The following is a 13,423-nucleotide window of genomic DNA, read 5'->3' as shown; positions in this document are numbered from 1 at the left end:
GGCGGCCACTTACCGCGGTAGCTGGTTCCCGGCTTGTAGAAGTCGGGGTCGCCCTCCACGCGGAGGCTGAACTCGGTGTAGCCCTCGCGCCGCGTGCCCTGGGCGCGCAGGATACGGCTGCAGTAGCCCTCTGACTTGGGCACTTTGTCCAGGGTCTCGTCGGAGAAGGCCAGCGCCGCGGCCAGGGGCAGCGCCAGGGCCAGCAGTGCCGGAGTCCGGCTCAGCTTCAGGGGCGCCGGGGACAGCCTCATCTTCGCGGCCCCCAACTTTGTGCCGCGGCCGCAGGCCTTCGCCACGCGACTCCTGCCCGAAGTGGTCCCGACGAAGGCGCGACCTGGCGGAGGCGCGGCGGAGAGAGGGAGCTCGGAGCTGGCGTCCGCGACTCGGAGACCGTGCCCGCCTCGGCTTGGCGGCCGCGGAGCTGCGCTGAGCTGAGCTGAGCTGAGCCAAGCGAACGAGAGCAGCGCGAGGAGGGGAGGGCCGCGGCGAAGGAGCGGGAGGAGGGAGGGCTGATTTTGCCCAGATCCCCCAGCGCAGCGCTGTTTTGTTTCCTCCGAACTGGCGATTAGCGGCGCGGCCGTGTTTATTTTGCGACGTTGGATTCCCAGGGTCTGACGAAGAAACCGTGGCATACCGGACCCTGTGGGCTCTGTCCCATCGCCTAGGAGGCTGCTGCTCCAACCCCCAGCTACACTCCGGACCCTCTGGAGGACGGCGCTCAGAGGAGGGAAAGCCTGAGAAATAACTTTTGTTGCACACCTGCTCTGTGCCTAGCAATATGCTTGGCGGCTTACTTACTGTATCGACTCGCCTTCATGTTCCCTACTCCCAATAAAGATTACATTACTTTCGCTCACTTTATAGATGAGCAAACTGTGACTTGCGACCAGTTACAGCAGGGTTAGATGCGGCGACTCCGGGCCCATTGCTCTTCCCAAGGCCATAGTGGAACATGTCAGACTGGAGGCTGAGAAAGGAGAAACGACTTAGCTACAGCGCTTAGGGCCCACGATACTTTTGGAGATCTATGAAAATGTTTTCTGTAAAAATCAGAAGAAAAAATTTATGTCAAACAAAATGTTTTACTATATAATGTTAATATATTTGTATTTATACCTCCACAGTCATAAAATATGCTTGACTTGGAGGAAAGAGCCAGCAAAGGCAAAAGTGCCTAAGGCTCAGGAAGGTCCTCCTACAGCCCAGGAAAGGAGTTTCCAAAGATTCAATGAAGAGCCTGTGTTTTCTTGGCTTACATTTTAGTTCAGATTCTCACTCCCCAGGGACAGATGTTCAGAGAGGTGCTGAGCCTGAGGGCCTGAAGGGAAAAGACCTGGGGCAAGAATCTCTCCCAGTGTCTCTCTGGGAAGAGACCCGAATCAAACCTCAGTCCTGCCACTCACCCATTGTGAAGCTTGGGCTAGTTATCGCACTCTCCAAGCTTGTTTCCTGCTCTGGAGAACAAGGAAGTGGGGGTGGGTGCCAGTACATCCTTCTTAGAGGTAGTGGGGTGATATGCTAGAAGTAAATGATATGACCCATATAAAACACTCTAGTTGGTCTCTAGTGGCGCCTGCTCCCTCACCCGCTTGGGGATACCATAAGCCCCCTGCCTCTCAGTGCACACAAACATCCCTCCCCAGGTGCCCTCAGAAGCTTTGGTTTCCTCGTCTTCTCTTTGCCCAGGGCCTTCGACACACCTCAAGTGCCTACAATTAGCAAGCAATCTCCTTTGCTTTCCAGGTCAGGGTTTTCTCTTTCATAATGCTACAAACAGGCCCAGGGCGCTAGGTGCATGGGAGATCTCCATTCCTCCCTGCCTGCCCACTTACTCCTTAGTGCTTGTGCTGGAATTCCCACTGCCACTATTAACTGGACGCCTTCTCTCAGAGGTCACCTGAAAGTAACCCCTTGCTGAAGCCAATTATGCTCTTCTCTCATCCCTAGCCCTTCTTGACCCTAGCAGCACCTGATCCAGCTGATCGGCCCTCCTTTTTGAGGTGAGGCTCAGATCCATGTCTGAGTGCTGAGGGAATTGTCTGCATCTTCACTCGACTGGCTCAGAGCTCATGCTGCACTCCAAGTTGCACGGTCCCATTCATCCAGCAAACTTTCATTAAGTGTAGATTTGGAGCTAGACTCTGTGCTGACCGGTAGGTAGAAGACGGAACAAAAATTCATCCATCCATCCATCCATGCATCCTTCTATCCATCCATTCATTCATGACAAAGACCCTCCACGTGCTCAGTGCTTGGATACAAAACACAGATATGTTACTTGCCTTTGAGGATTTTACAGGCCTGTGGCAAAGGCAAATATTAAATACATAATTATATGAATCTTTTAAAATTATAATTGTGATGTATGCTACAAACTAAAATAAGTGGTTCTTGAAAGTGTACCTGATCTTATCTCAGAGGGCAGGAAACTACAGAAATGAATAAATTGTGACCCCTGTCTTCACAAAGCTTATTTTATGTCTGAAAGCTCAAATCTGTGCTCTTGAACCTCTATTCATCTACAAAAGGTTCAAATCTAAGTTGGAGATGGGTGGGCATGAAGTAGGCAGGAATGCAATATTTAACTTTTTATTGGATATTGACAGGAAAACTATGGGAAGTAGGCAGTCCCAATTCACCTCCGCACTCCCATTGTTCAGATTAGGAGCCTATGAAATTACCTGCTGAGGTAATGTTCCATGGCTATTAAGGGAAAGAGCCAGGATTTAAAACAGGCATCCCCAACACCAAATGAGGTACTTTCCAGTACACAGTGTTCGCCCTATCATCTGGGCTATGACGGCAGGCTCTAACCAGCTCACCAAGCTCCAATCCCACTACATGAGCTAGGTTTTCCTAAACCAGCTTGGCTGTCACTCAGACCTCTGCTGTCTTCTCCACTCATCCGATCCATCACCACATCAAGTTTCACGCTCTTCTCCACCACTACCCCTGTCTGTGTTGACATCCTCTCTCATCTTCCTAACTGGGTTGCCCTTGTCTACTTGTGCTCTCCTTCCATCTGTCTTCTGCACTGAAGCCCAAGTGATCTTTTTAAAAATGCAGATTTGAATGTCAATCCTGAGGTTAACATTTTTTCTTGGTGGTTTTTCAGGGCTCTCAGAATAAAGACAGAATCTTCAGCCAGGCCTCCAAGGCTCTGCTTGATCTGCTTCTCCAGCCATGCAGCTCTTCTCTCATGGGCTTTGCCTGTGCTGTTCTCTCTGCCTGGAATCCTATCATGCTCTTTGGTCTCTCCTAGCCACCACTCTCCATTGGCCAACTCCTATGTACTCTTCAGATCTCAGTGCAAAACTGCCTCCCCAAAGAAGGCCTTTCTGATTTCCTAGAATAGATCCAGCCCCCAAAACTCTGCTGAAGCTCATGAGTACCTTTTCTTTTAATCTCCTCCTCCTCCTCCTCCTTCTTCTTCCTTCTTCCTCCTCCCTCTCCTCCTCCTCCTTCTTCTTTCTCCTTTCTCCTTTCCTCTTTCTTCTTTCTTCTTGAGGCAGGGTCTTCCTATGTTGCTCAGGTTGGTCTCAAACTCTTGGGCTCAAGCAATCTTCCTGCCTCAGCCTCCCAAAGTGTTGGGACTACAGGCATGAGCCACCACACCTGGCTTCTTTTAATATTAAGATTTATAATGACCCATTGATTTATAAGTTTGATGTTTAAAATTTTACATTTGTTCAGTATTTGTCTCCATTCTAAATTCTAAGCTCCAGAAGGGTAGGGGATGTCTATGGGGCTTACCACTGTATTTTCCGTGCACATCGTAGTGCCCGGCCCCTGGTAGGGGTTCCATAAATATTTTTTCTCTGAATAAAAACTTTTTAACAAGCCTACCCTCAGTGCCTTCTGACTCTGCCCAAATTTTAAGACTTGGCCTCTAAGGCCATCCACAATCTGGTCTCACTGTGTCCATCTGGTCATGCCTGGTCATAGATCCCAATCTGAGCTCCCAGCACCACCCAGCTGGGCTCCCCGTGTCCTCCACTTCAGTATTGCCTCAGCACCTTTGCTTACAGCTTTCTCATGGCCTGGAATGCCCTCCCTCCTCCTGCCTGATTAAATTTTCCTCCATAGAATGAGATCCTGCAGTCTCCCCTCCTGTGGACTTCAGTAGAACTGAGGAGGAGAAAAAGTTTCCCATTTTGACTACTGTGGTCCAGTGGATTGTCATGAACTATTTCATGTGTCTATTTCTCATCTCCTAGCAATGAATCCAGTTTACTTTCCCCTTAATTTCCTGTTCAGATGTTTTGTTCTTTTGTAAAATATACTGGACTTCAAGAAATCTCCTTCCAGTTTTTGTAGCCTAAGGCAGAGCTGATGTCAGTTGCTAGGGTGTTGCTAAGGAAAGTCATTTAGCCAGGGCAGATAATTAACTTTATCAGTGTGTGTGGGTAGGTCGCAGAAGAGAAGAGCTGGGGGCTCCAGTTCTCCAAGGCGAGAAAAGTCCTTTGATTCATAGGAGGTAAGATCTCCCTCTTTTTTCTCCCCGCTTTAAGAGAGAAGGGGGAAAAGGATTTTCTAGATTAGTGTTTTTCTGAGTATGGTCATTGAAACATGAGCATCAGATGTTTGCTTCAAAGGCAGATTCCGAAACCTCATCCCAGACCTACTAAATCTGTACTTTGAAGAAAAACTCATACTGAAGTTTAAGGAACCGTCGTCCTAGACCGTAATTCAGACTTGAAGTACATGGGTTCCAGGCTGGCTCTTCTGTTTTCACCATGTGAAGCTGTGCAGTCTTGGAAAGTCACAGGACCTATCTACACGGATTATGTGCAAAATTGGACATAGTAATACCCATCTTGCCTACCTTGTGGGATTTTGAGAAACAAATGGGTAACTGAGATAATTTGTAAACTGCAATGAGGTCACAATAACCCCACCCAGTTATTATTGTTACTTTTATTAATTCAGAAAAAGAGTCTAGAAACTTTATGTTTTTGTTTCTCTTATATATAGAGTTAAATTGGACATTTTATAGAAAGGGATTTCTAGAGAAAGAAAACAGATAGGCAATGAAGGAGTTGAATTGCACTGAATAATCTATTGTAATCTGTGGTGAGGAGGCCTGGAAGCTGTCTACAGGTGAGCCAGCAAGTTTAAAGACTAAGTTATGGAAACTGAATACATACGTACATACGGTAAAAAAAAAAAAAAAATCCTAAAAGCAAAAGACATTCATTAATTACAAAGATATTTCTTCAGAACCTGCTGTGTTCTAGGCATCAGCCAATTATATATAATTACATTACCTTTGGAATCCTGAATCTGATTGGGCCCATCCCACAATTCCATGTAAGGTATGAGCTCCTCCGATCACCCGTCTCTCCAGTCTTTTGGTCTCCATTCAGTTTTGCCCTTCCTTCTGCTCTCTGGAGCATTCCTCTATCGATTGCCCATTGCCGTATCCAGATCAACATTCTAGTAAGTAAGAGATAATAAGAGTCCCTCCTACATTAAAACTCCCAGCATCCAATTTATACTCCTTCATCCTATCTCCATCATCTGTAGCCTCCAGGTCACTTTCCTGCAGCCACTGTGGACTCTGCAACTGGCTCTCTAGCTTCCTGCCTATTGTCTCATGCTATGGGCCTGGGAGATTAGCCTGATGAAGTCTGAGCTGACAATTTAGTCTCTGCTCTAACCTCCTCTACTCCAATGAGCTTGGCCTCCCTCCATATCAGCAGCCCTCTCCCACAGAAACACCCTCTTCTTTGGGAATCTTGAGCTCCCAATAGCACTTTCTCATTTTACTTCCAGCTTTCCCATTTCTCACCTCCTCTATGTCATTGAGGTCTACAGCTGCTTAGTCACTTCTGATTTTTTCCAGCCCATCTTGTTAATTCCTTCCCCACCCAGCCTGGACACCATGTTCAATCATTTTAACTATATCCTAACCACCATTCTTCATTAGCTCTCCTCTTTTATTTCTGTTCCTCCTCTTTAACCCCCAACCTACAGCAAATCAACCAAGCAAAACAATGGAACCCTCCCCGACTTCTGAGTTCTGCTGCACAAAACCTGGTAACCCTGCCAATTACTTTACTACAAATGCATGAATTCTACCTTTAAGTATAGTTCTTAAATTTATTCCTAATCAGTTTCTTTTCCTATTCATCTAGTCCTTACCATCTTTTCAAGCCTGCTTCATCACTCTTTAATTCTCACTCTTTGGTATGGAGAGGGGTGGTTACTTGCCCTCTTATTTTATCCCTCACATGGGGGACATTAGGCATGAACTTCTTCAAATCTCCATATCTCCTTCCACAAACCAAACTCTGGCAAAATCCAAGTTCACTTCTTGCCTCAAATGCAGAAGGGTTTAACTCTTCAATTTTTTCAAGGCTAATCCCCTACTTGCATTCTTGTCCTCATTTCCTGACTTCTGCCAAACACTGATCTAGCTCTTATCCTCTCTCCCTCTTGTATTTCTGTTTCTGTTTCTGTCCATGTCCTTGGCCTGCGGCTCTAGCTAAGTCTTCCCCATCCTGGGCGGGGAATTGGACTAGGGATTCAGGTAGTGCTAGTCAAGAGACTGGACTTTTTACTGACCTTGTCTCACTCTCTGTGTCCTCTGTTGTAACTCTGTTTCCTCAGTTTTCACTCATTTTTTTTTTCATGTGGTGTAGCTTGGAATCAGCTCATATCTCTTTACGGAAAGTGTTCTAACAGAGATCACCTAAGACCTCCTAATTGCCATAGACGTTGTCTGAATTAAAAACAGCGGAATAGAAGCTCACCACTGAGAGCAGTTAAAAAGAATTGCACAGCAGGAGGTCTTCCAAGGTATAGATCTGCTCCCAACCTGGAGATCTCTAAGTCTCCTTGCTTTTAGGTTTACGGATTAAAGAGAGCACTGTGTCTAAATGCAGCACAGCATGCCAGGTGCAGCTGTGGGCAGCTCCCAAGAGCAAACCCTTGCAAGTCCAGCCACACATAGAACCCAGACGCAGTCTACATTCCCCTTGTGGTTCTCTTGCTATTAATCTAGCAACCCGACCCAAGCAGAACCACTTTTTTGAAGTTCTGGGAACTTCATGGCTTGGACCACATGACCATGGCACACTACTGCCACCTGGTGACAGTGAACTGAACATGCAGCAGTATTAAGTAAAAACTCCTAAGCACCCCGGCACTCCTTGAACCTATTTTAAACTGGAATGTTTGGGCCCATTTTAGACTAGATTGTTTGCTCTTTGAGAATAGACTCATTGAGTTTTACACTATTTTAGAATAATATGTCTGCATAAAGCAGGTGTTTAGTGAATTTTTGTGAAATTTAAGCCTTTCATTCATTCAGCAAACATGTATTGGAGGAGGTAATCCAAAGAAAAACAAGACATAATTCCTGCCTTCAAGAAGCCGCAGAGATGGATAAAGCAGATATTTGTAAAACAAAGAATTATGTGTACTAAGTATTAAAGGGGGCACAGAGAAGGGAGTAACTAATTCTGCCCAGGTAAAGTAACACTTGAAAAGGTACTCAACACCTTCTCGAAAGACAGATCAGAACTTGTCAACTGGACACGGGGATGGAGAATATAGGAGGGGAGGAGAGCTAATGCAAAAGCTTAGAGATGAGAGAAGGCAGAGTGTGTCCTTCGGGTAGCAGAGTGACCTTTTCAGTGGCATTGTATGAAGATGGATTGTCCAGTGAGAGTGTAGGGGGGGTGACACATGTTAAGAGGCTTTAACAACAGTCCAGAGGAGAGCTGCGAGCTAAGGCTAGGAGGAAGGGATGAATTGGAGGGCTGTTCAGGAAGCAGACTAAAGAGGATGGAACGCCTGGTGATATGCAGGAAGGGAGACGGGAGTGGCTCTGAGAGTTCTCATAAGGGCCACTGGGTTGTATATCTACCACCTCAGTGGTATATTTTTCCAAGACAACAAATTCAAGAAGAGAACCCACGGGACATGTGGGAATGAGGAATGTGTGAGATGATATATATTCCATTGTGGACACTTGACATTTAAGGGGTCTTTCAGAGGGGGATGTACAGTGGACTGTCAAAGACAATAGGTTTCTATCTCAGAAGGGAGTGAGCACTGGAGACAGAGACCTGGGAGTTGGTATTGTGCCCCAACACTCCCTTTAAGATACTCTCAAAGCTTAGCTGTCTTATGTTACTTCTCAGCTTTGTGCTCTGATTTCCAAACCAATAGACCGATTTGATAGATGTAATTTTGCTAGCATGCTAATGGGAAAATAGTAATCTTGAGTTCCCTACCTGGTTCACAAGGTGACACAGGAGGATGTTTACAATGGCATCCCAGGGTAAACAAAAGATGTAGGACTCTAGCCTCTGTAACCTAGAAGGTACTCATGGTTCTGGAGAGCTTCCCAAGCTTGTTGGCTGATCGCTCCTTTGCTCATGCATAAAGCTGGAACTGGAGGAAGGCACTGAGGGCGGAGAGTAGAGGAGAAAATAGACCTACATCCTTTCTGCCTGACAAGAAGAGAAAGAGACAGAAGGGAGGGAAGGAGACAAAGCAAACAGAACTGGAAATAGGGAAGAAGACAGAAATGACCAGAAAGCATATTTAGTGCATAAAGAAATACATAAGAGTGTCTGAGAAACAACAGAGGAAATGAGGCTCCCGTCCTCCTATTACCATAATGAAGTATCCATGTGAGGCAATAAAAAGGCTCTTTTTATGCCTTCCAATTAACTAGGGCTCAAGTTTTGCACGTCTCTCAGCTGGAAAATATAATTGCTGAAGTGTCAGGTTTACCAATTGGGTTGTGGCTTTAAATAAAGTGCCATCCAATTGTTATTTCACATATACAACCCAAAGAGCTGGCACCTGGAGGGAAAGGAAAAACAAAACCTCCAGAACATAATTCAGGCCCAAAACTCATTTCTCTGAGAAAAACTTGAGCCCAGCTTGTTGGTATGAACATTAAGAGGGAATAAGAATAAAAGACATTTATTCACTCATCAGATAGCGGTGACACTGACAATGCTGAGCCCTTTACTGGGTCCCTGAAGGATGGGAAAGCATGCCTCCATCTACAGAGGGCTTGCAATAATCACAGCTGACAGTTCATATCATGCCTACTATGGGCCAGGCAGTGGTCTAAATGCTTCACACATATCTCATCCTTACAACAAGTGTTTTATTACTCCCATTTTGCAGATGAGTAAACTGAGGCGTAGGTACCTTAGATTACTTGCTTGCCCAAAGTTACAATCTATTTGAGAGCCAATGCAATTGTACAAGAGACACTTTCGTGCCAATGACAGATTAAGACAATGGTGTCTCAAAGGGAGAAATCCCCACAGGCTAGAGTGGCCCAAAGGTTTCAGGGGAGCAGTAGGACTTGATGGGTAGGTGGGATTTGGAGATAAGAGGGGAAAAGACATCCTAAGTCATGCAGACTGTAGGAGCCTGGAGTAGTGGTGGCGTAGTGAGAGGCCACCCAGTCTGGAGCAGAAGGTTTGTGGCGGGGAATGACAGGGAAGCTGTAATGGGAATAGGGCTGTGATGAGCCCGTAGTGTTGGGGTTTCTCTCTAGAAGTTTTAAATTTGCAATGAGCTTCAGTTCTCAGCCCAGTGCATTTTCAGGCAGTGGCACAGGAGCCAGAATTCAGAGTGCATTTATTCGTCAGGCTCCGTTAACTCATTAAACGTGCATTTCACTTTTGTCTCTTTTCCTTCGTTCTCCTTAACAAGGCCTGGCATCTCAGATGCTGACTTTTCAGAAAGATTCTTATGCAGATTGTCAGTCCCCTTCCTTATCCTTGAAAATGCAGCTGAAATGGCCTCTCTGTGAAGACTTCGCTGGCAGCCACAGGCAGGGTTGTCACTCCTGTGTGCATCGGCTCCTGTGTAGGATCCCTTGTAGGATTTATCACAGGGGATCAGCATCTCTGTATACATCTTGTTATCTCTCACAAGACTCTGGAGTCTTTACAATGTGGAACTGTTTACTTTGTATCCCTAAGTGCCTTCCACAGTGCCTGGCACATAGTAGATGCTCAGTAAATGCCTGCTGAAGGAAAGAATGGATGAACAATGGAATGAATTACCACTATTATATTGGAAGGTATATAGAGAATTATCTGCTTCAAATCTTTATCCCTTTAATGAGTTCTCTCTATAAAATGAAAGTTGCTTCGTTGCTATTACAATAGCCTATTTATTTATTGCCTTCATAATACACATTACGATCTGTAATTATTTAATTTGCTTGTCCACTTGTTTATTGTCTTCCTCCCTTAGGACAGTGTAAACACCAGGAGCGTAGGTACCACATCTGTCTTGTTTACTGTGACATCTTTAGCTCCTTGCACGGTGCATAGCATGTAGTAAATACTCAACAAATATTTGTTGAATGAGTATCATATCTCCAACTGATTGTCCAGATTATTTTTGAATCCCTTAAGTTAGGAGAAACTCACCAGCTCCTTCCATTCTTTTAGATGATTCTAATTATTAGGAAAATTTTTGTTTTTATTGAAGTGAAAACCACTTCCCTAGGGTACTTACAGAACAAGCTTACCTCTCTTCCGAGAAGCAGCCTGTGGCAATTTAAAAATAGGTCCATAAATTTTTTGATGCTCCTCCCTTCAAGAGGTAGAGCCTAATTCCCCTCCCCTTGAGCGTGACCTTGACTCAGTGACTCACTTCTAATGACTAGAATAAAACAGAAGTTATGATGTGTGACTTCAGAGACCAGGTCATGAAAGGCACTGTGACTTCTGCCTTGCTCTCTAAGATAGCTCACTCTGGGAATGTTAGCTGCCATGTCATAAGGATATTCATGCAACCCTGTGTAGAGACCCATGTAACAGGAACTGAAGCCTCCTGCCATGAGAATGAGCCATCCTACAAGGGAATCCTCCAGCCTCAGTCAAGACTTCAGATGACTGCAGCCCCTACATACTGCTTGCAGCCACACAAAGATTCTGAGCTAGAGCCACCCAGTCAAGGCACTGGTGAGTTTCTGACCACAGAAACTATAAGATAATAAATATGTGTTGTTTTAAGCTACTAAATTTTGGTGTAATTTGTTATATCACATTAAATTCACAGCCATTTACATATTTTCTGAGAATTACCATGTTGTACTGTTTTCTTCTCTTTTCCAGGTTAGGCATGGTTTCTGGGCCCATCATCTTTCTGTTCTGTTTCCCAAGGGCACATTGCAGCTTGTTACCAACGTTGCAAAAGGCTGGTACTCAGAAGTGAAAACAGATTTTAGGGTATGGCTGTGCTATCCCAGAAGGGAGAAGCTATATCCTGCCCAACTAAACATTGCCACATCATCCTGTCAATTTACATTGATTTTCCCTTCATTTAATTATGAAAAAATTTCAAACCTATGGAAGAGTTAAAAGAATTTTACAATTAACACTGATATATCCACTAACTAGATTCTACAGTGAACACACTTTGTCACAAATCTGTTTATCTGTCCCTGTATCAGTCCCTTATTCCTTCTTTTTCATAAAGGAGTGAGATATATATTTCTCAAGATTTAGCACTATAATCTCACTTAGGATGGAGCCAATTTCATATTTTGATGAAAGCTTTTTTGGTTTTTAGCAATCAGCACAACATTAAACTGCCTGCCAGAGCTGTTCTCATGCTGATTTTGCTGTTGTGTTGGTGATAGCAGCATGGCAACAATATATTCTTCTTTTTTTTGATACATTTCAAAGTAAGTTAATAGACTTTTTAGGCAATTAAAATCTCTAAGTTCTTTTCTTACTTTGCTGATTCTACCTACATCTTCCCATCTTCTGCCTACTCCTGAAATATAGGAATTACTTACATTTAGTAGCAGAGGAATGCAGAAAGGTGTAGAAAAATGAGAATAGGTCTTGAAGGTAGATAGACTTAGGCAGGGTTCCTAGTTCTTCCACTTCCATCAATGGGATATTAGGCAAGTGATTTAACCTCTTGGAGTCTTGGTTGTTTCATCTATAAAATGAAACCGATAAGAATACCTACTTTGTAAGGTTATTAAGAGGACAAGAGATTATATATGGAAAGTGTGTAGCATGGTATCTGGCATCCAGTAGGTGTTCAGTAAATGATGACTAATATTATTTGGTCTACCATTCCTGCCCATCTAGATAATTTTGGATTCTGAACTTGTCATCCAGATTAACATCATCTTCAAGTCCATAAGGTCTACTAGATCCTCATCCTAGAAATTGATGTGGAACATGACTGGGACAAGGACTGAATCTGCTGTCACTTAAAAATATTGTTATTGCCCTAAGTCTGATATTAATTAAAATAATTCAATGTGGTAATAATAGCTGTAGCTTATAGATCTGACATTAACTATTCATCTGCAGTCTTTTGATAGTCTTTCAAGCAGTTATAAATCTACCTTACTCCTCTGTCATGGTTGATCACATTTCTCCATCTTACCTATAAGAATATCACAAGTGAGGATTATAAATCATGCTGCTATAAAGACACATGCACACCTATGCTTATTGTGGCACTATTCACAATAGCAAAGACTTGGAACCAACCCAAATGCCCATCAATGATAGACTGTCATGGGGTGGGGGGAGGGGGAGGGAGAGCATTAGGAGATATACCTAACGTAAATGACAAGTTAATGGGTGCAGCACACCAACATGGCACATGTATACATATGTAACAAACCTGCATGTTGTGCATATGCACCCTAGAACTTAAAGTATAATAATTAAAAAAAACAAAACAAAACAACGAAAAAAGAATATCACAAGTAACTTTGCTTTCTTAATTGATAAATGCATTTACTACATCCACCATATTTCCTTCTTCTATCAGCCTAGTAACATTTTCATTTAAGAAAAGTGGGTTAATCTGCTGGGGTTTCTTTGCAAACTCATGGCAGTTCCTAGCAATCAATTCTTTTTTTTTTTTTTTTTTAACATACATATATACTGTTTCTTGGAAAATCTGTTGTAAGAGAGACTGCTAATTATGTACTCAATATAAATTCTTTTCTTCCTTACTAACAAATTCCTGATCTTGGCCAGGGAGAGGAGCCATGTGCCTAGCTAAATCACTATATTCCCCACTTGTTTCAGATACCACTGGACCATCTGGCACAGTTTTGACCAGTGAGATAAGAGAAGGAAGTTGACGGATAGAGCCTCGGGGAGAGTCCCTCAGAAGGGAAAGGGAGGCTGGAGACAGCTGATGCATCCAATTATGCCCTTGTCCTTTATCTTTCTTCTGCCTGGAATATGGACACTTAGGTTGGTGATAGAGGAGCCATGTTGGGACCATGAAGTGACAATGAGGGAAAGGCCAAGAGAATCTCAGAGATCTCAGTCCTGACATCCTTGAGCAGTTAAAGCAATGCCTCACTTGAAACTTCTCATATAATCAGAAAAATAAGCTTCTAAATTGATTAAGCTACTCTTTTGGGATTTCAATTACTAATAGCTAA

The 13,423-nt window shown here is 43.9% G+C and overlaps 1 protein-coding gene across 1 annotated transcript in view; it reads right to left on the bottom strand.

Annotated features, from left to right (window-relative positions):
• SPON1 (spondin 1) overlaps window positions 1-433 on the bottom strand; it is a 305,411-nt gene extending 304,978 nt beyond the window's left edge. The window contains exon 1 of the mRNA NM_006108.4: window positions 14-433. Within this exon, the coding sequence (NP_006099.2) occupies window positions 14-251 (238 nt within the window). The 5' untranslated portion in view covers window positions 252-433. The remainder of the gene's footprint in view (window positions 1-13) is intronic.
• Window positions 434-13,423: the final 12,990 nt, after the last annotated feature.

The sequence above is a fragment of the Homo sapiens genome, chromosome 11 (assembly GCF_000001405.40).
Source record: "Homo sapiens chromosome 11, GRCh38.p14 Primary Assembly".
NCBI classification, from domain to species: domain Eukaryota; kingdom Metazoa; phylum Chordata; class Mammalia; order Primates; family Hominidae; genus Homo; species Homo sapiens.
This window is presented reverse-complemented; position numbering and strand designations above follow the sequence as displayed.